At 41.7% G+C, this 21,444-nt stretch overlaps 1 annotated feature.

The window, feature by feature from the left end:
* Positions 20,951 to 21,000: an enhancer, noted in NCBI's record as "active region_5664". NCBI's record gives its function as "activates an Ori minimal core promoter by ATAC-STARR-seq in GM12878 lymphoblastoid cells {active_cell/tissue: GM12878}" and the evidence as "EXISTENCE:reporter gene assay evidence [ECO:0000049][PMID:35858748]".

The following is a 21,444-nucleotide window of genomic DNA, read 5'->3' as shown; positions in this document are numbered from 1 at the left end:
AGAGGTATGTCACAGGCCAGGTACTCTGGAAGCAAAAGCTGAGACAGTCTTGTGTGCAAGATGTGTACTGGGGATCAGCATCTTTGAAAGGAAGAGCAGGAAAGCCATATTTGGGAAAAGGAGAAGTAAAACTGCAGTGCAGGTCTGCCAAAGCCTCCATCAACCCCATGGAGAGCTCTAGAGTAAATGTCACTAGCCAGAATTGCCTAGGAAGAAACAGCTGGACCAAAGTGACCAGGCCTTGATTTGCCAGCCTCACTCAGTCGCTGGACATGGACTGCCCAGGAAAGGCATAATATCTGGGAAGAAACCTCTCCACAGTTGAGGCAGACCTTGAAGATGCTGGCAGCTAGAGGCTGTTATTTGCATTTCCCATAACTGGGCAGCAAGCCCGTCCTTAAAGAGGAATCTAGACGGTGTAGCTCCACGTCTACTCTTTAAGAGTAGAAGAAAACTTATGTCAAATGTCATAACAAAGGCCATAGAGTAGAGCGTGGTCCTTTCACTATGTTAGTGCCCTTGTGGGAGCAGCAAAGCTGAACAAGGCATCAGCACTAAGGGTAGTCTTCAGTGAGTCCACAGAAAAGAAATTCTCAATTCTAAAATGGAGAGGTAGCATAACTTTCAAGTGGCAACAAACTCTCTGACACACTTCTTATCAAGAGGTGGAGTCTATTGCTCCTTCCCTTGAATTTGGGCTGCCTTATGATTGTTTTGCTCTCTAGAGTATGTGAGGGGAGACACTACACTCTCTCCAGACCTACTGAACCTTCAAGAGAATGTGGTCCCCGGGAGCCCTGGGCTGTCAAGTAAGTCCAACTACCATGCTGGAGAGATCACACAGAGAAGCTCTGAGACTACTTGGAAGTAGAGAACTCATCCAGCCATCCTTATCAAGGTGCCAGCAAAGGGTTGAGGACTAGCTACCAGCTAAAACCACCAAGTGACCCAGCTGATGTCAATCAGCCAATCCTTGCCTGAATACCTGACAAAATTGTGTGATATGACAAAATGGAGTTGTTTGAAGGCTCTAATTTTTAGAGGTTTGATAGGTTTTTGTATACAGCAATAGATAACTGGAAGAATGACCAAAAGCAGAGCCAAGGACATGGAAAGTTCTGAAGTAGTCAACAGAAGACTCAAGAGTCACCATACAAGGACAGCCCAGGGAGGATCAGGGACGGGCAGGAACTCATAAGTAAGCAAGTTGATGGAAGGATTAGAAAGCACATGTGACCGCAGTGCCGCAAAGCCGCTGTAGACAGACTGCCTCTCTAGATTCCTCCTCTCTGGGTAGGGCATCTCTGAAAGAAAGGCAGCAGCCCCAGTCAGGGGCTTATAGATAAAACTCCCATCTCCCTGGGACATAGCATCTAGGGCAAGGGGCAGCTGTGGACACAGCTTCAACAGACTTAAACATTCCTGCCTGCTGGCTCTGAAGAGAGCAGTGGATCTCCCAGCACAGTGCTCGAGCTCTGCTAAGGGTTAGACTGCCTCCTCAAGTGGGTCCCTTATCCCCTTGCCTCCTGATGGGGAGATACCTCCCAGTAGGGGTCAACAGACACCTCATACAGGAGAGCTCCAGCTGGCATCTGGCAGGTGCCCCTCTGGGACGAAGCTTCCAGAGGAAGGAGCAGGCAGCAATCTTTGCTGTTCTTCAGCCTCCACTGGTGATACATGGGCAAACAGGGTCTGGAGTGGACCCCCAGCAAACTCCAGCAGACCTGCAGAAGAGGGCCCTGACTGTTAGAAGGAAACTAACAAACAGAAAGCAATAGCATCAACATCAACAAAAAGGACAACCACTCAAAAACTCCATCCGAAGGTCGCCAATAGCAAAGACCAAAGGTAGATAAATCCACGAAGATGAGGAAAAACTGGCACAAAAAGGCTGAAAATTCCAAAAACCAGAATGCCTCTTCTCACAACTCCTCACCAGCAAGGGAATGATACTGGACAGAGAATGAGTTTGATGAATTGACAGAAGTAGGCTTCAGAAGGTGGATAATAACAAACTCCTCCAAGCTATAAGGAGCATGTTCTAACCCAATGCAAGGAAGCTATGAACCTTGATAAAAGGTTAGAGGAATTGCTAACTAGAATAACCAGTTTAGAACATAAATGACCTGATGGAGCTGAAAAATACAGCATGAGAACTACATGAAACATATACAAGTTTCAATAGCCAAATCGATCAAGGGGAAAAAAGGAGATCAGAGATTGAAGATCAACTTAATGAAATAAAGCATGAAGACAAAATTAGAGAAAAAAGAATGAAAAGAAATGAACAAAGCCTCCAAGAAATATGGGACTATGTGAAAAGACCAAACCTATATTTGATTGATGTAACTGAAAGTGACGGGGAGAATAAAACCAAGTTGGAAAACACACTTCAGGATATTATCCAGGAGAACTTCCTGAACCTAGCAAGACAGGCCAACATTCAAATTCAGGAAATACAGAGAACACCACAAAGATACTCCTTGAGAAGAGCAACCCCAAGACACATAATTATTAGATTTACCAAGGTTGAAATGAAGGAAAAAGTGTTAAGGGCAGCCAGAGAGAAAGGTTGGGTTACCCACAAAGGGAAGCCCATCAGACTAACAGTAGATCTCTCTGCAGAAACCCTACAAGCCAGAAGAGAGTGGAGGCCAATATTCAACATTCTTAAAGAAAAGAATTTTCAATCCAGAATTTCATATCCAGCCAAACTAACCTTTGTAAGGGAAGGAGAAATAAAATCCTTTACGGACAAGCAAATGCTGAGGGATTTTGTCACCACTAGGTCTGCCTTATAAGAGCTCCTGAAAGAAGCACTAAATATGAAAAGGAAAAACCGGTACCAACCACTGCAAAAACAAACCAAAATGTAAAGACCATCAACATTATGAAGAAACTGCATTAACTAATGGGCAAAATAACCACCTAGCATCATAATGACAGGATCAAATTCACACATAACAATATTAACCTTAAATGTAAATGAGTTAAATGTGCCAATTAAAAAACGCAGACTGGCAAATGGGATAGAGTCAAGACCCATTGGTGTGCTGTATTCAGGAGACCCATCTCACATGCAAAGACACACATAGGCTCAAAATAAAGGGATGGAGAAAGATTTATCAAGCAAATGGAAAGTAAGTAAGTAAATAAATAAATAAATAAAAGCAGGTGTTGCAATCCTAGTCTCTGATAAAACAGACTTTAAAGGCCAGGCACAGTGGCTCACGCCTGTAATCCCAGCACTTTCAGAGGCCTACGCGGGTGGATCACAAGGTCAGGAGATCGAGACCATCCTGGCCAGCACAGTGAAACCCCGTCTCTACTAAAAATACAAAAAAAAAAAAAAAAAAAAAATTAGCCGGGCATGGTGACGGGCGCCTTTAGTCCCAGCTACTCGGGAGGCTGAGGCAGGAGAATGGCGTGAACCCAGGAGGTGGAGCTTGCAGTGAGCCAAGATCATGCCACTGCACCCCAGCCTGGGCAACAGAGTGAGACTCCGTCTCAAAAAAAAAAAAAAATTTAAAAATTTAAAAAAAAGACAGCCTTTAAGCCAACAAAGATAAAAAAAAAAAAAGAAGCAAAGAAGGGCATTACATAATAGTAAAGGAATCAATGCAACAAGAAGAGCTAACTATCCTAAATATATATGCACCCAATACAGGAGCACCCAGATTCATAAAGTAAGTTCTTAGAGACATACAAAGAGACTAGTTCTTAGAGACATACAAAGAGACTTAGACTCCCACACAATAATAGTGGGAGACTTTAACACCACACTGTCAATATTAGTCAGATCAAGGAGACAGAAAATTAACAAGGATATTCAGGACTTGAACTCAGCTCTCGGCCAAAAGGACTTAATAGACATCTACAGAACTCTCCACCTCAAATCAACGGAATATACATTCTTCTCAGCACCATATCATACTTCTTCTAAAATTGACCACATAATTGGAAGTAAAACACTCCTCAGCAAACGCAAAAGGATGGAAATCATAACAAACAGTCTCTCAGACCACAGGGCAATCAAATTAGAACTCAGGATTAAGAAACTCACTCAAAACTACACAACTACATGGAAACTGAACAACCTGCTCCTGAATGACTACTGGGTAAATAAGAAAATTAAGGCAGAAATAAATAAGTTCTTTGAAACCAATGAGAACAAAGACACAATGTACCAGAATCTCTGGGACACAGGTAAAGCAGTGTTTAGAGGGAAATTTATGGCACTAAATGCCCACAAGAGAAAGCAGAAAACATCTAAAATTGACACTCTAACATCACAACTAAAAGAACTAGAGAAACAAGAGCAAACAAATTCAAAAGCTAGCAGAAGACAAGAAATAACTAAGATCAGAGCAGAATGAAGGAGATAGAGACATGAAAAACCCTTCAAAAAAAATCAGTGAATCCAAGAGCTGGTTTTTTGAAAAGATCAACAAAATAGATAGACTGCTAGCCAAACTAATAAAGAAGAAAAGAGAGAAGAATCAAATAGACATAATAAAAAATGATAAAGGGGATATCACTGCTGATTCCACAGAAATACAAACTACCATCAGAGAATACTGTAAACGCCTCTATGCAAATAAACTAGAATATCTAGAACAAATGGATAAATTCCTGGACACATATACCCTACCAAGACTAAACCAGGAAGAAGTCGAATCCCTGAATAGATCAATAACAAGTTCTAAAATTGAGGCAGGAATTAATAGCCTACCAACCAGAAAAAGCCCAGGACCAGATGGATTCACAACCAAATTCTACCAGAGGTACAAAGAGGAGCTGGTACCATTCCTTCTAAAACTATTCCAAGCAATAGAAAAAGACAGACTCCTCCTTAACTCTTCTTGTGAGGCCAGAATCATCCTGATACCAAAACCTGGCAGAGACACAACAACAAAAAAATTTCAGGCCAATATCCCTGATGAACATTGATGGGAAAATCCTTCATAAAATACTGGCAAACCGAATCCAGCAGCACGTTAAAAAGCTTATCTACCACGATCAGGTCAGCTTCATCCCTGGGATGCAAGGCTGGTTCAAAATACGCAAATCAATAAATGTAATGCATCATATAAACAGAACCAATGACAAAAATCACATGATTATCTCAATAGATGCAGAAAAGGCCTTCGATAAAAGTCAATACCTTGTTGTGCTAAAAACACGCAATAAACTAGATATTGATGGAAAGTATCTCAAAATAATAAGGGCTATATATGACAAACCCACAGCCAACAACCTACTGAATGGGAAAAGCTGGAAGCATTCCCTTTGAAAACTGGCACAAGACAAAGATGCCCTCTCTCACCACTCCTATTCAACATAGTATTGGAAGCTCTGGCCAGGGCAATCAGGCAAAAGAAAGAAATAAAGAGTATTCAAATAGGAAGAGAAAAAGTCAAATTATCTCTGCTTGCAGACAACATGATTGTATATTTAGAAAACCCCATCATCTCAGCCCAAAAACTCCTAAAGCTGATAAGCAACTTCAGCAAAGTCTCAGGATACAAAATCAATACGCAAAAATCACAAGCATTCCTATAAACCAATAATAGACAAATAGAGAGCCAAATAATGAGTGAACTCCCATTCACAATTTCTAGGAAGAGAATAAAATACCTAGGAATACACCTCACAAGGAATGTGAAGGACCTCTTCAAGGAGAACTACAAACCACTGCTCAAGGAAATAAGAGAGGACACAAACAAATGAAATGAAAAACATTCCATGCTCATGGATAGGAAGAATCAATATCGTGAAAATGGCCATACTGCCCAAGGTAATTTATAGATTCAATGCCACCCCCATCAAGCTACCATTGACTTTCTTCACAGAATTAGAAAAAGCTACTTTAAAGTTCATATGGAACCAAAAAAGAGCCCGCATTGCCAAGACCATCCTAAGCAAAAAGAACAAAGCTGGAGGCATCATGCTACCTGACTTCAAACTATACTACAAGGCTGCGGTTACCAAACAGCATGGTACTGGTACCAAAACAGATATATAGACCAACAGAACAGAACAGTGGCCTCAGAAATAACACCACACATCCACAACCATCTGATCTTTGACAAGCCTGACAAAAACAAGCAATGGGGAAAGGATTCCCTATTTAATAAATGGTGTTGGGAAAACTAGCTAGTCATATGCAGAACACTGAAACTGAACCCCTTCCTTACACCTTATACAAAAATTAGCTCAAGATGAAATAAAGATTTAAACATAAAACCTAAAACCATAAAAACCCTAGACAAAAACCTAGGCAATACCATTCAGGACATAGGCATGGTCAAAGACTTCATGACTAAAACACTGAAAGCAATTGCAACAAAGCCAAAATGGATAAATGGCATCTAATTAAACTAAAGAGCTTCTGCACAGCAAAAGAAACTATTATCAGAGTGAACAGGCAACCTACAGAATGGGAGAAAATTTTTCCAATCTATCCACCTGACAAAGGGCTAATATCCAGAATCTAAAAGGAACTTAAATTTGCAAGAAAAAAACAGATAACCCCATCAAAAAGTGGGCCAAGTATGTGAACAGACACTTTTCAAAAGAAGACATTTCTGTGGCCAACAAACATATGAAAAAAAGCTCATCATCACTGGTCATTAGAGAAATGCAAATCAAAACTGCAATGAGATACCATCTAATGCCAGTTAGAATGGTGATCATTAAAAAGTCAGGAAACAACAGATGCTGGAGAGGATGTGGAGAAATAGAAATGCTTTTACACTGTTGGTGGGAGTGTAAATTAGTTCAACCATTGTGGAAGATAATGTGGTGATTCCTCAAGGATCTAGAACTAGAAATACCATTTGACCCACCGATCCCATTACTGGGTATATACCCAAAGAATTATAAGTCATTCTACAATAAAGACACATGCACACATATGTTTCTTGCAGCACTATTCACAATAGCAAAGACTTGGAACCAACCCAAATGCCCATCAATGATAGACTGGATAAAAAAAAAAATGTGGCACATATACACCATGGAATACTATGCAGCCATAAAAAAAGATGAGTTCATGTCCTTTGCAGGGACATGGATGAAGCTGGAAACCATCACTCTCAGCAAACTAACACAGGAACAGAAAACCAAACACTGCATGTTCTCACTCATAAGTGGGAGTTGAACAATGAGAACATATGGGTGCAGGGAGGGGAACATCACACACTGGGGCTTGTAAGATGGTGGCGGACAAGGGGAGGGATAACATTAGGAGAAATACCTAATGTAGATGACGGGTTGATGGGTGCAGCAAACCACCGTGGCACATGTATACCTATGTAACAAGCCTGCATGTTCTACACATGTATCCCAGAACTTAAGTATAATAAAAAAAAAAAAAAAGAAAGAAAGAAAAAAGATAATGTAGCCCTGCAGAAAAAAAGAAAACACATGTAAGGCTGGGCATCCCAGTAATTCCACCTGTAATCTCAGTGCTTTGGGAAGCAGAGGCAGTATCACTTGAGCCCAGGAGTTGAAGAGCAGCCTGGGCAACATAGGGAGACCTTGTCTTTACACGAAATTTAAAAATTAGCCTGGAATGGTTGTGCACATCTGTGGTCCCAGCTACTTGGCAGGCTGAGTTGGGAGGATCACTTGAGCTTGGGAGGTCAAGGCTGCAGTGAGCTGTCATCACGACACTGCACTTCAGCCTGGAAAGTAGAGCAAGATGCTGTCTCAAGAAAGACAGAGAGAGAGGGAAGGAGGGAAGGAAGGAAGGAAGGAAGGAAGGAAGGAAGGAAGGAAGGAAGGAAGGAAGGAAGGAAGGAAGGAAGGCAGGCAGGCAGGCAGGCAGGCAGGCAGGCAGGCAAGCAAGCAGGCTAGCAAGGCACATGGGATGCATCTAATTTGACTTGTACTGAGATGGACACCACTGGCTTCCAGAATCCTAGTGAAGCAGTAAATGAGATAATTTACTGATACTAGTATCTGGGAGAAAATAAGACTATAGCTTGGAGAACATGAAAAACTTTAGAAAATTATGGAGTAACAATGGCAAGAAAAATGAACAATATGCATAACAGGGTCACCAGCAAGGGCCACTGAAATCAGATGTCCAGGCCAAGTCATCAATGTTCTGAGACCTTCTGAAATGATGCTGTGCCCCTGAGGAGCAGAATTAGGATTGACTTAATTATGGTGGACACCATAGCAGGTCAAAGGAGTTTATCAAGAGATGAATTGATGAAGGTGATCTTGTAGCAAATCTGGCCAGGGATGTGGATGCAGTAAAAGGGGAAATGAGAAGGTTGAGGGTGTTGAGATCTTAATGAAAGTAAAAATTAAGGTTCTAGGGAGTGGTTATGAGTAAAATAATTCACTCATCATTCATTCATTTCTTCATTCAACAAATATTTGAGTATCTACTATGTGCCAGGTACAATTCAAAGCTACTAAGTTTCTCTGCCTGAAGGTGAGCAAGGATAGGAAGAGAAAATAAAATTGACTAAGTCCACTTAACAGAAGTTGAAACTCAGGGACCATATGTTCTCCTGTATCATCTGTGAGATTGAACTATATTTCCATTGCCATTAAGAATAAAGAGTTTACCATTTTCTAATTACTTAAACATATTGTAAATGTAATGCAAGTAAAGGCCTTGTTTGATTCCAAGTATAGGCTGGCCCCTGAAATAGATCATATTCAGAAAGATTTTAAATAATTTTTAAACAGTCCAGACCCTGTATAGACCAGATAGAAAACCTGACCTCTGACCACTGCTGAATAATCAAGAATAAATAACTTAACTTTTCTGTACTTCCATGTAGTTACCTATGGCAGATAATGATTCTCATCACTCCCGTTCTGAGCACTCATTGATTCCACGCATTCAATAAGCATTTACCGAATATCCTACTCTCTGCCACCAACTGTGCCACTTACTATTGCTATATACCTGTACTGTTTGTATGTTATCTTATTTATTCCTCACAAGAATTCTACAAAGTAGATATCACTTGCCCTATGCTCTATGGCTTAAAGAGGAAAGTAGCTTGCTCAGGGGTAGGTATGTTACAAACGGCTGGACTAGAATATCTGTTTTCAAAGTCCATGCTATTTTCCCAATACCATGAAGCCTCATGGAATACTACATTTATTTGTTTATGTGTCTGTCTTTTTAAAAAAATAAGAATTTGGCTGGGCACGGAGGTGCACGTCTATAATCCCAAGCACTTTGGGAGGTCGAGGCGGGAGGTCAGGGAGGATCACCTGAAGTTGGGAGTTTTAAGACCAGCCTGGCCAACATGTTGAAACCCCGTCTCTACTAAAAATACAAAAAATTAGCTGGGCATGGTGGCATGCACCTGTAATCCCAGTTACTCGGGAGGCTGACGCTGGAGAATCTCTTGAACCTGGGAAGTGGAGGTTGCAGTAAGCCAAGATCATGCCATTGCACTCCAGCTTGGGTGACAGAGCAAGACTATGTCTTAAAAATAAATAAACAAACAAACAAGAATCTTGCCAGACTCATATGTATTTTCCTCTTATGCTTAACGTATATTAAATAATCAACAAATATGCAATTCATAACTAAAATGAGGTACAAATTTGACAAAAAGTGTTCCCTAGATGCATGTAATTAGATTAATTATGTGAATTTCTAACTCGCATAGCCAATTGCTTCTTTAGTTATCTCTGTGAATGAGAGGCTGCATGAATGAAGGAAGGAGAGAATGTATAAATGTATCAATAAATGTGCAAATGAAAGTCCAATGTGCTTTTATCTTGGGGCACTGGCATTTGCTCTTCTGCCTGTCTGCAATGCTTTTCCCCCAAATTGTTACATAGCTTGCTTCCTCAATACTTTCTTCAGTTCTGTGCTTGAGGTTCTCATCATCAGTGTGACCTTCACTGGTCACCATATATAAGTAGCAACTACCCTTTCCAGCTGCCATCTCTGTATCTTTACCCTGCGCCACTATTTTTCACAGCATTTACTACCACTGCATATATATATATATATATATGTTAATCCATTTATTCTGCCTCTTCCACTAGAACATATATGCCATGAGAACAGGAACTTTTTCTATACTGTACCCTGGTGCATTCCCAGTGCCATAGGTGCCCAATTCATATCTATTGAATGAATGAACTTGACTACTAAACTTAGTCATAGAAATCAAATTCCTTCTTACCTTTTCTCTTGCTGTGCTCGAGAAGTCAAATAATTTTATCAACAATTGAAACAGTGCTGTGTTCCAGAAGTATAATCCTTCTATGAAAAAAGGCTATGAGATTGACTTTTTGTTTTCTATTATTTCTTCGTGTTTGTGTGTGTGTGTGTGTCTGCACAGGCACGCGTGTTCACACGTACACACACATGCTGTGGGGTTTGGTTGGGATGATATGCTGCTACTTTTTCTGTCTGCAGGAGCCGGAGAGAAAGCCCAGGTGTATCCATTCTCTCCTTACTGAATTCAAAGGTTAAAGTGGAGCTTTCCACCTACTAAGTGGAAGTCGCTGTGACTCTACCTCCACCTCTTCTTTCCTTCTCTTAACCACTTGATTTTGGTAGTGGTTTGGAAGTTAAGTGAAATATTATTTCATCCACTGTGATATTGGAAGAGGGAAAAAAGGAACCCTAAAGGCTAATGTTTACTTCGTGGCAGGACAAAAGAGGTGCAAACAGCTCAATTCAGATTTCCCCTGTCTACTGCAGATAGCTCATGATGAAATACTTCCATTATAAAAGAAGGCCATTCACTAACTTATACAGATTTTTTTTAGGTAATTAGTTTGAGAAAGTACCCCTTCTCAGATAGCATTGAAGCATAATACTGTAATAATATTCATTGCAATGGAATATTATTATAATATTACCTAGTGGCAACCAATCTCATTCTCCAATTCACTGTGTCTCCAATTACTTAGATAAACATCCTAACATTGTGATATTTAAGTGTGGGCCCTATGTGGCCAGGATGTTAACAGACTTTCACGCAGAACTTTTGGAGCCAAAATAAGCTAGATGCTACTGAGCTCATGGCCAAAGCTGAAATGGTAATAATACTTCATATTACTTCGTATGTCCCATGTTATCTTCACCACCCTCTGTGTCAGGAAGAAGTCAGGTATTTTCCCAAAATTACAGATGGTGAGACTTAAGACTCTGAGACCAACAATGTTTCATGGTCACACAGCTAGACATGGTACAACCAAAACTAGAGTCCAGGGTTTGGGGCCCATGTGACTTCCTCTGCTTGCTTTCCATGGCCCAGAAAAACTAGGATCATGCCATGGACTGCAGGCCTTCCTCTCTGGACTCGAATTTCTAGATCTCCAAGTTAATAACAACTCACAAGTAGGGCCACATCAAGAAAGGTAAGGATTTGTGGGCGCAATTCATGATGAGAGCCAGCGTGGAAATTGTGCCTCCAGATACCCAACCCAGGCCAGTGACTATCAAGAGAAAGCCCTGGATCCTACACTGAACAGAGGGAAGCAGAAGGCCCCAAATGAGCCTCCCAGAGCAGCCTGCTTTCCGGTCTGGCCAAGCATTTACTGTGAAACCCTGAAGGATTCAGCAATAAATCACTGTTTCCCATCTTAAATTCCTTTTCTGCAATAAGGAGAGTTATTTACTTTATGATTAATAGTTCTCTGAAAATATCCATGTAGGTGCATTTCTTAGACATTGCTCTTTTTTCTCCTTCCCTCCCAATTTCTTTCCCTTTTTTTATCTCCTGCCTCCCTCTTTTTCTCTGTTTCACTCTCACTCTCTCTCTCTTTCATAGACTTTTAAATCCTCAGTCTTCCTCAGAACGTCAGTTTTCTATTGCTGCATTAAAAATTACCTCAAAATCCCATCTTAAAACAACAGAAATTTATTATGTCACAGTTTCTGTAGGTCAGAAGTCTGGGCATGGCATGGCTGGATTCTCTGCTCAGGGTCTCACCAGGCTGAAATCATGGTGCCAGCTGTGGTTGTAGTTCCTGTTTGGGTCCTCTTCCAAGCTCACTGGTTGTTGGCAGAATTCACATCCTTAAGGCTGTAGGATGAAGATGCCTGTTTCCTGCTAGTTGTTGGCCAGGGACTAGTATTAATGCCCAGAGGCTACTCACAGTTCCTTGCCCTGTGCCCCCCAATGACAGGTCACATCATAAATGTGTGTTACCTCTGGACAGCTGGAGTTTGTCTCTCTGGCGCCCTCATCTACATCCAGCTGCTTTTAAAGGGCTCATGTGATTAAGTCAGGTCCACCAGGATAATCTCCCATCTTAAAATCAACTGTGCCGTAGAGCATAACCGAATCCCTGGAATAACATCCATCATATTCACAGTGCCAGAGAATATGCAACCGAATCCCTGGAATAACATCCATCATATTCACATTGCCAGAGATTACACAGGGCATGTATAATAAAGGGCATGGGGAATCTTGGGCACCATCTTAGAATTCTGCCTATCACACTTAACAACAGCAAACTCCTAACATGAACAAAAGAGTGTTCTTTTTTCTTCCAAGGGATGACTCTGTCCTCCTGCTTGAAATACCCTTCACGTGTCCTCCGAGAAGCCACTCTTTTTTGGGGACTCTTCGAACTCTGACCATTCCTCTGTTGGTTTCTTCCCATCCCCTAACCTCTAAATGCTGAAGTTCCTCAGGATACTCACCTCTTCTCTTTATCTAAAGAAATGCCTGGAAATCTCATCTCCCTCCTGGGGTTGAAGTACCACCTACTCACAGATGGCTCCCTAATTTATCTCTGTAGCTCAGGCCTCTGCCTGAATTTCTAACTCACATACCCAATTGCTTCTTCAATATCTCCACTTGCTTTTCAATACGAATCTCAAACTTCACATTTCTAAAGGGAAACTTGGTTCTGCTGCATTCCCAATTCCTCCCCATCTTAATAAGTGGTAACTCTCCCATTCTCCCAATTTGTCAGGCCCAAAGCCTTGAAGTCTTCTTTAACTCATATTTTTCTCACATATCTGAGACCTAACCCATCAGCAAAGTTTGTTGGCTATACCTTCAAAATATCTGACAGTTACTACCTTCACTGCTCGCAAGATGCCGTTGTACAATGCCTGGGTTTTTGCAGTAGACACCTAGCTACCCTATTTATTTTCACCGTTGTCCTCCTCCCTCCTTGGATTCCAATCTATTCTCCCCAAGGCAGCTAGAGTGATCCTTTTAAAACAAAAAATACAGTAATCCCTCCTTCTGCAGTTGTACTTTCCACAGCTTCGGTTATGTGAGGTCAACCACAGTCCAAAAATATTAAATGGAAAATTCCAGGAATAAACAATTCGTAAGTTTTAAATGGCATGCTGTTCCATGTTGAAATCTCACACCCTACCGCTCCATTCAGCCCTGGACGTGAATCCTCCCTTCAACCAGTGTGCATCTACGGTGTATACACCACCACTCATTAGGCACTCAGTAGCCATCTCAGTTATCAGACAGAAAAAATACACAGGGTTTGGTACCCTCCTTAGTTTCAGGTATCCACTGAGAGTCTTGGAACTTTTCCCCTGCAGATAAGGGGGGACCACTGATTATCATGCCACTCTTCTGTTGAAAATGCTTCAGCAGCTTCCCATCTCACCCAGGGAAAATGGCAGTCTTGCTTTATGCTCTGCCCTCCTGCTCTCTCTCTCTCCCCCTCTTGTCCTGCTGCTACCCCCAGCTCCGCTTTGCTTACTCTGCTTCACCACAACACCCTCCATGACTCCCCTCAGACATACCAAGCATGTTCTTTCCACAGGGCCTTTGCACTTACTTTCCTGCTGCCCTTCTTCCAGATATCCACCAGGCTCACTTCCTTACCCTTTCCAGTCTCTGTTCAAGCCATGCTTTATCGGAGGGAATTTCCATGACAACCCTATATGCAAGAACACCATCCTCGGGACTCTCTATCTTCCATACCTTGTTCTACTTTTCAGTATGGTGCTCTTATCTCCTGACCTATGAACTAATTCATCATATGTGTTTATTTCTCATCAGCAGATTTAAATATAAGCTCCATGACAGAGGTGATTTGGTCAGTTCACTGCTGTGACCCAGAGCCTTGATTCATAGTGTCAGGAACATTATAAGCATTCGATGAGTAGTTGCCAAATGAGTGAAAGATGTCCAATCACTTATTCATCAGAGAACGCAGACTTTCTTCATATGGTAGTTTTGATTAGAAAATGTCATAGTGAAAAGACCTTTAGGATATCTTGTAATTCTCTCTCTCTCTCTCTCTTTTTTTAGATGGAGTCTCACTCTGTTGCCAGGCTAGAGTGCAGTGGCGTGATCTCAGCTCTCTGCAACCTCTGCCTCCAGGGTTCAAGTGATTCTCCTGCCTCAGCCTCCCTAGTAGCAGGTACTACAGGTACATGCCACCACGCCAAGCTAATTTTTGTATTTTTAGTACAGACGGGGTTTCACCATGTTGGCCACGATGGTCTCGATCTCTTGACCTTCTGATCCACCCACCTCGGCCTCCCAAAGTGCTGAGATAGGATATATTGTAATTCTCTTTTCAGCATGAGCAAATTCAGTTCATACAACATCAAGGTGAGAATAGAGGAAGGCCTTCATGGAAAAAAGGTGTTCAAATAAACTATTTTCTTTCATCTGAAGGTCTACAGAGTAAGTTTGGATCAAGTATACTTGTTGGAAACCAAAGGATGTTTTCCTCCCTACCCATTTTTTCCACAAACCAAACTAGATTCTCACTTCCACATCTTGGTTCCAGTGGCTCCCTTCCTGGCCTACTGTCACCTCAGCTTCTCACAGTTCTATTGATCCTTTGAGATTCCTCTGGATCACCATCCTCATCACCAGATGCCCTTATGCCATGTGTGACCCCTGCTGCCTTAGACCTCCCCAGGTCCCCTATCTTACTTATATAGCGATCACTGTGCACTTTTTACTCTTTCTCCCTTCACACTGTCTGATCTCGAGTGGTGGGAGTGGTTTTGTCTTATCTTTTTATCTTCATAGCACTTGGCACCATGTATTACCCAGAGGAGATGGTCATTATCTGTCTGTAGTATAGGATTGGATTGATTCAAATTATTGCATTTATTCAGGAATTAGGCATTGAGCTTGCAGACTGCTTTGTTTCACTTTCAGGACACAGAGACTCAGAGCAGTTGCCTGACCTTTTGAAAGTCGGCTCAATGGCCTCAGACTATAGTCACCTGTCCAGCTTCCTTAGGGGACACTCCCAACCAAAGAGCTATGATTTTGTCAAGTATAAAGAGCTGTCAAAAATGATCAGGGGAAAAATATCCTCTTTGTAAGTAAATTAAACTCTCTGCCTATTTTCTATTTCATGCTCACTATCTGTGTTTTCCAAGAAAATTGTACTTTAAAAATCTCTATGAAAAGCAACTTCTTTTCTATTCAAGTGGAATAACAATTCACCCTGTGCTACCCATGGCCCCTGCTAATGCTTCCAAGGGAATACAGCAAAGGGCTACTTTCCTTTACAGCCTTTGATTTGTTCTTTCTGCATCCTGTAATTTCCATCCACACCGGAGAGCCAAGTGCTGTGCGGAGCTAATTAAACACTATAATTATCCATGAGCTATGGCCCAGAAGCAGAGAGAAAATCTAACACATGTCTGATTGTAATATCAGGTAAATACTCAAGATGTGTGACTGGTGAAATGCAAAATATTCTATTCATTTAATATTCTTGATGAATAGTGAATTAGTCTAATCACATTAGCTATTCTATTCATTTATTAGGTGAGAGTGATTAGAAGTGAATAGCTGCAGAAAAACCCTCTCAAGTTGCAAAAATTAGACTTCCGTAGTTTTATTATGTTTATTTTCAACTGAGGGTAATTGTCTGTAGCTTTCTCTGCGACTAGTCTATGCACCTCCCCTGTCTTTGCCCCTTGAAAAACTGAATGTTGGTTACACGTGTAGAGAGAGCAGATAAGACAATGAAGATCTGGTACACAAATGCTCCTGGACATTGTATAAACATTCAAAATATCGCACACAAACATTGCACTTCCAAGGGCATAACCACACTATTTTTTATTCTTTTTAATTGAGGTATAATTTACATATAATAAAATACATAAATCAGTCTGGGCGCAGTGGCTCATGCCTGTAATCCTAGCACTTGAGCCCAGGAGTTTGAGACCAGCCTGTGCAGCATGGTGAAACTCCATCTCTACAAAACAAAAAAAAAATTAGCCAGGTGTGGTGGTGCATGCCTGTTGTCCCAGCTACTCAAGAGGCTGAGGCAGGAGGATTACTTGAGCCCAGGAGGTTGAAGCTGTGGTAAGCCATGATCAAGCCATTGCCCTCCAACCTGGGCGACAGAGTGAAACCCCATCTCAATAAAAACAAAAACGTGGATCTTAAGTGCAAGCTCAATGAATTTTGACCTATATATGTGCCCGTGTAATCACCACACAGTTCAAGACACAGAATATTTCCTAGAAAGTTTCCCTGGAAGTTACCACTGTTCTGACTTCTATCACCATTCAACGCCGTAGCCTGTTCCTAACCTCATATAATGGTATCATACAGTCCCATATTAGTTTTAAATAACAGTATAGTCTTTTAATACCGAAAAAATAAACAGCCCATAATTCCAGCACCACCAACAAAAAAAAGCCCTCAAGATTAAAACAATTAATAAAAGTAATGCAAGAATAGCATGAGGTATTTCAAACATTATAGAAAAGCATTTGGAAAAGCTCTGATCTCCACCCTTCATCAAAAGTTGTTCATTACTAAGTAAACCCTGCTGGGTATTCCCCATTGGCTCCTTCAGATCTTCCCTCCACTTTGCCATCCTACCCTGAGTCCCTGGAGGCTGAACTCCATGGGCAACATCAATGGCTCCCTTGCTGTCTAGTGCCCACTGTGTTCTGCCAAAGGGAGGTGCTACCAGCAGAAGGGAAGGCAAGTGGTGGGTTGGGTAGGGGTATCTACTCCCCTGGCTCACTCTCTCCGTTACATTGTCTGAGATAGCTGGATCTGAGGCAGCCTTCTCCTAGAGCTAGCTACCCTTCCCAAGAGCAGGAACTGCTCCTTTCCCTTGCTACTTCAGGCCTAGATGTTCACAGTTCCCAGCTTTGGCTTGCCCCTGCTTGCTTCAGCACTTCTGTTTGGTTTTCCTTAATCCTTCCAACACATTTGTGAATAGCCCCTTCATTAAACTCTCCTCACTTGCCCCATCTGAATGTTCTGCCTTCTGCTCTTGACTACCACTCATGTTAAATTTTAAATAGACTTTATAGAAAACATATTGGCATCCATTGTGTACATAGGCTCTAAACTGCTCTATGGGTGATAAACCATTTCCAGAGGGTTTCTTTATTAGCCACCTCTTTCTAATCAAAGTAAACTTAAGTCATCCACACACCTAATTCATTCTGATCTTTAAGCACAATGACAAGTGATCCAAAGTACGTAATCTACTATCTTGAAGCTTTTAAGTTATTTTTACCATTTGAATTTACTTTAGGTCTACCAACAAATCTCCTGTTGCAATTTTAGACCTTGTATATACAAGAGCTTTAGAAAAGTCATTTATCTTTCCCAGTAAGCCTAGCATATGCAGGGTATAGACAAGAAGAGCTTTGCTAAAGCTCCACGTGGAGAAAAAACAAGCTGGAAAAAGTGGATCCACTGCTTGAAGACAAAGGTATAAAGTTGACATAAGACAGAGAAGGTCAAGGGGACTTTGACATTTATAAGAGTCTGCTATGTGCCAGGCATTGTGTTAAACACTTAACCGACATTAATTCTCACATTAGCCACATGAAGTTATGTGCTTGGCATAATTCGCAGATGAGGAAACTGACAGGTCTGAGATTTAAATCCACTATCTCTTTGAGTTCCAAATCCCAAAACCCAGCTCTCAGTCTAGAAGTCTGGTCTTCAGACATGAGTGGGTAGAATCAACATGGCTATGGTGAAGCTGAAGCCCAAAGAAGACAAGAAAATAGGCAGCAAACAACTATTTTAAGTGTTCAAATCCCTAAATCCAGACAAACCACATGGTGGAGTGTGAAGAAACTCAGATGTGTTGCCAGAGCCACCATTTTATTTAAAGAACTGTAGAAAGAACCAGAGATGTTTACCGCCAAGAGGCAAAGGCCTGAGAGGAAGAGACAGGCGAGAACTCTAGGGAGAAAACCATCTCTGGAGCTCCAGAAGATGGATGCTGAGCCAGGGGATGGAGCTTACAGTGAATGGGGTTTGTTCATTCATTCACTTGTTCAACAAATAATTATTGATAATCTATCGGGTGCCAGGCACTGTACTCAGTGCTAGTAAATATAACAATGAACAAAAGAGACAAAGTGCCTGCTGCTGGGAAGATTACATTTTGTGGGAATAGACAATAAGTAAAAGAAGAGAAGAATATATGTCAGTTACCGACAAGTCCTTTAAAAAAACAAAGCAGAGTAAGGAGGCTGTAAAGAGCTGGGGGCATTACTTGCTTTTATCCAGGGTGGTCAGGTTCAGCTCTCTGAGAAGGTCTCTTCTCTGAAGAGAGGAAATGAGCCCTGTGGGTATCTCAGAGGATTCATGTGAATATCCAGGAGGAAAATTTTCCAGGTTGAGGGAACAGCCCCTACAAAGGCCCTGAGGTAGGCGCATATTTCACTGTGTTTGAAGATTGGCAAGAAGGAGACTGTGACTGACACTGAGTGATCCTACCCAAGGGTGGATAAAGAAAGTGGCAGAAGTTAAGCCCAGAAAGTTTGTAGGGGATTGTATGGGGTCTTGGGCTGTGGAAAGTACGTTACCTTTTACTCTGGGTGAAATGGGATACTACTGGAAGGGTTTGAGCTGAGGAGAGACTAATTATGACGAATGTTTTCAAGGGATATTGTATGGAGAATAAAGTATAGTTGAATGAAAGTTGAAGCAAGGAGACAAGAGGCTGTTAAGATAATCTACATGAGAGGATGGGGCATGAGACTAGACTCAGTGTGGAAGTAGATGTGGTGAGAAGGGGTCAGATTCTGGATATATGTTGAAAGTAGAGGCTATAGCAGTTGCCCTTGGAATAGATGCAGGGTGAGATAACAAATGAAATGTCAAAGATGGTCCTAAGGCTTTATAGATCAGTAAACTCTAGACTGGAAGGGTCACTCATGAAATTAGGACAATTTCAGAATAACGAGTTTCAGGGAGATATCAGGAGTTCATTTTCGGACGTGGTGAATTTTAGACGTCTCTTAGACATGCAAGCAGTTGGCTGTATGAGTCTGGCTTTCAGGACACAGGGTCTAGATGGATATGTAAATTGGAGGGTTATCAATGTGTAGATGATAAAACCATGAGATTAAGTTAGCCCTACCCTGCTCACTGTTTGTAAATGAGAACTGAGCCCTGGGACATTCCAAAATGTAAAGGTTAGGGGATGGGGAAGAACAACGTAGAAAAGACTGAGGAGGAACTGTCAGTGAGGTAGGAGAACCAAGAGTGAGTGGTTCCCCAAGGACTAGTGAAGAAACTACCTCAAGGTGAAGATGTGATCCACTGTGGCTAAAAATCAATCATAAAAGACCTTCTGGCAATGTGAAGGTCTTTTTCAACCTCCACTGGGGCTGCGGACTAGTGGAATAGTGAGAACAAAGACTGAGTGGATTCAAGAAAGAACAAGAAGAGAGAAAACAAACAACACATAGACAACTCTGTCAGTGAACTTTGCTGGAAAGAAGAGGGCAGAAGTGGGGTAGTAACTTCAGAGGCATGTAGGGTAAGGGAAGATGAATTTTTTTTGCTTGGTTGATGATGGCTTGGTTGGTTTGTTGGTTGGTTGGTTGAAAGATGGAGGCTATGCCATCATGTTCTCAGGCTGGCAGGGATGATCCAGTAGAGCAGTGTTACATGTAATATAATAGACAGAGACAGCATTGCTGAAGGCATGCCCTTGAAAAGGACAGAGAATGGGAGTCCCAGTGCACAAGTAAGAAGCTTTCCTTAGAACCAACCAGAGTAGCGCTTATCTTACCTGCTTTATATTTCACATTCCACAGAAAACTTCATTAGGGGAATGTGATGGTAAATATTGAGTGTCAACTTGATTGGATTGAAGGATGCAAAGGATTGTTCCTAGGTGTGTCTGTGAGGGGGTTGCCAAAGGAGATTAACATTTGAGTCAGTGGGCTGAGAGAAGCAGACCCACCTTCAATCTGGGTGGACATCATCTAATCAGCTGCCAGTGTGGCTAGGATAAAGCAGGACTAGACTTGCTGAGTCTTCTGCCTTCCATCTTTCTCCTGTGCTGGTTGCTTCTTGCCCTCGAACATCAGACTCCAAGTTCTTCAGCTTTTGCACTCTTGGACTTACACCAGTGATTTGCCAGGGGCTCTCGGACCTTCCGCCACAGACTGAAGGCTGCACTGTTGGCTTCCCTACTTTTGAGATTTTGGGACTCGGACTGGCTTCTTTGCTCCTCAGCTTGCAGACTGCCTATTATGGGACTTCGCCTTGTGATTGTGTGCGTCAGTACTGCTTAATAAACTCCCCTTCAAATATACATCTATCCTATTGGTTCGGTTCCTCTAGAGAACCCGGACTAACACAGAGAAATATATGTTTTGTTGCTAATTTTAAAATAATAAATGATAACTCTCTATTTGCTTTATTTATTCCTCACATGTCCTTATGAGTCACTTTACTGCCATTTTACTAATAAGAAAACTGAGCCTCAGAAAATGTACATGACTTCATCAGGTTCTCAATGTTTGTATGAAAACTGGGGCTCAAACTGGGTCTGGCTAATTCCAAAGGCCATACATGTTCCACAACATCAGAGCCTGGAATTCCCCCAGAGGGACCACCCGCTAATGAGAAAGGGAGGACATCATCTCACAATGCCAGGCCAGAACAGAACAACGGAGGTAAACCTAAAGGCTCTCAGGTACAAGTGCTAGGAGGCAAGACCAAGTGATGCGCCTGGGCTCTCTGCAGTGAGGCCTTTGGGGAAGGTGTGGTTCGGCTCACAGCTTTTAAAGGTAGAGACGGATGGGAGCATCAGTACTTCACAAGGTTATGGGAAGGTCATGAGAAGAGCTGGACTCCCAAGTCAGGCTGATTAGTCTTGTGTGAATGAGAAGGAGCAAATGTTTCCACTTGAACTGAAAGTGCAGGAGCAGAAGCTGAAAAAAGCATGATGGGGCTTCTTGGGGTTTCCGGTGACTTCAGTAAGCGCTTCATAAATTCCTACCCTGTGTGCAGCATAATGCCTCATGCTCAGAAAAGAAAGAGGAACTGTCATCCTGCCCTGAAGGTACTTACACAATGAACAATTTCAATTCAGCATAAGATTTTGAAATACCTTCATTATTCAGTCTTCTCCAGAGAAACAGAATCAATAATACATAGATATAGAAATGTAGAATAGAGATAGAAACTTTCATTTATTTATTTAAAGAGATTTATTTCAAGAAATTGCCTCATAGGATTGCAGGGGCCA

The sequence above is a fragment of the Homo sapiens genome, chromosome 11 (assembly GCF_000001405.40).
Source record: "Homo sapiens chromosome 11, GRCh38.p14 Primary Assembly".
Taxonomy (NCBI): Eukaryota; Metazoa; Chordata; class Mammalia; order Primates; family Hominidae; genus Homo; species Homo sapiens.
The sequence above is the reverse complement of the archived record's forward strand: the minus strand, read 5'-3'. Positions and strand labels throughout refer to the sequence as shown.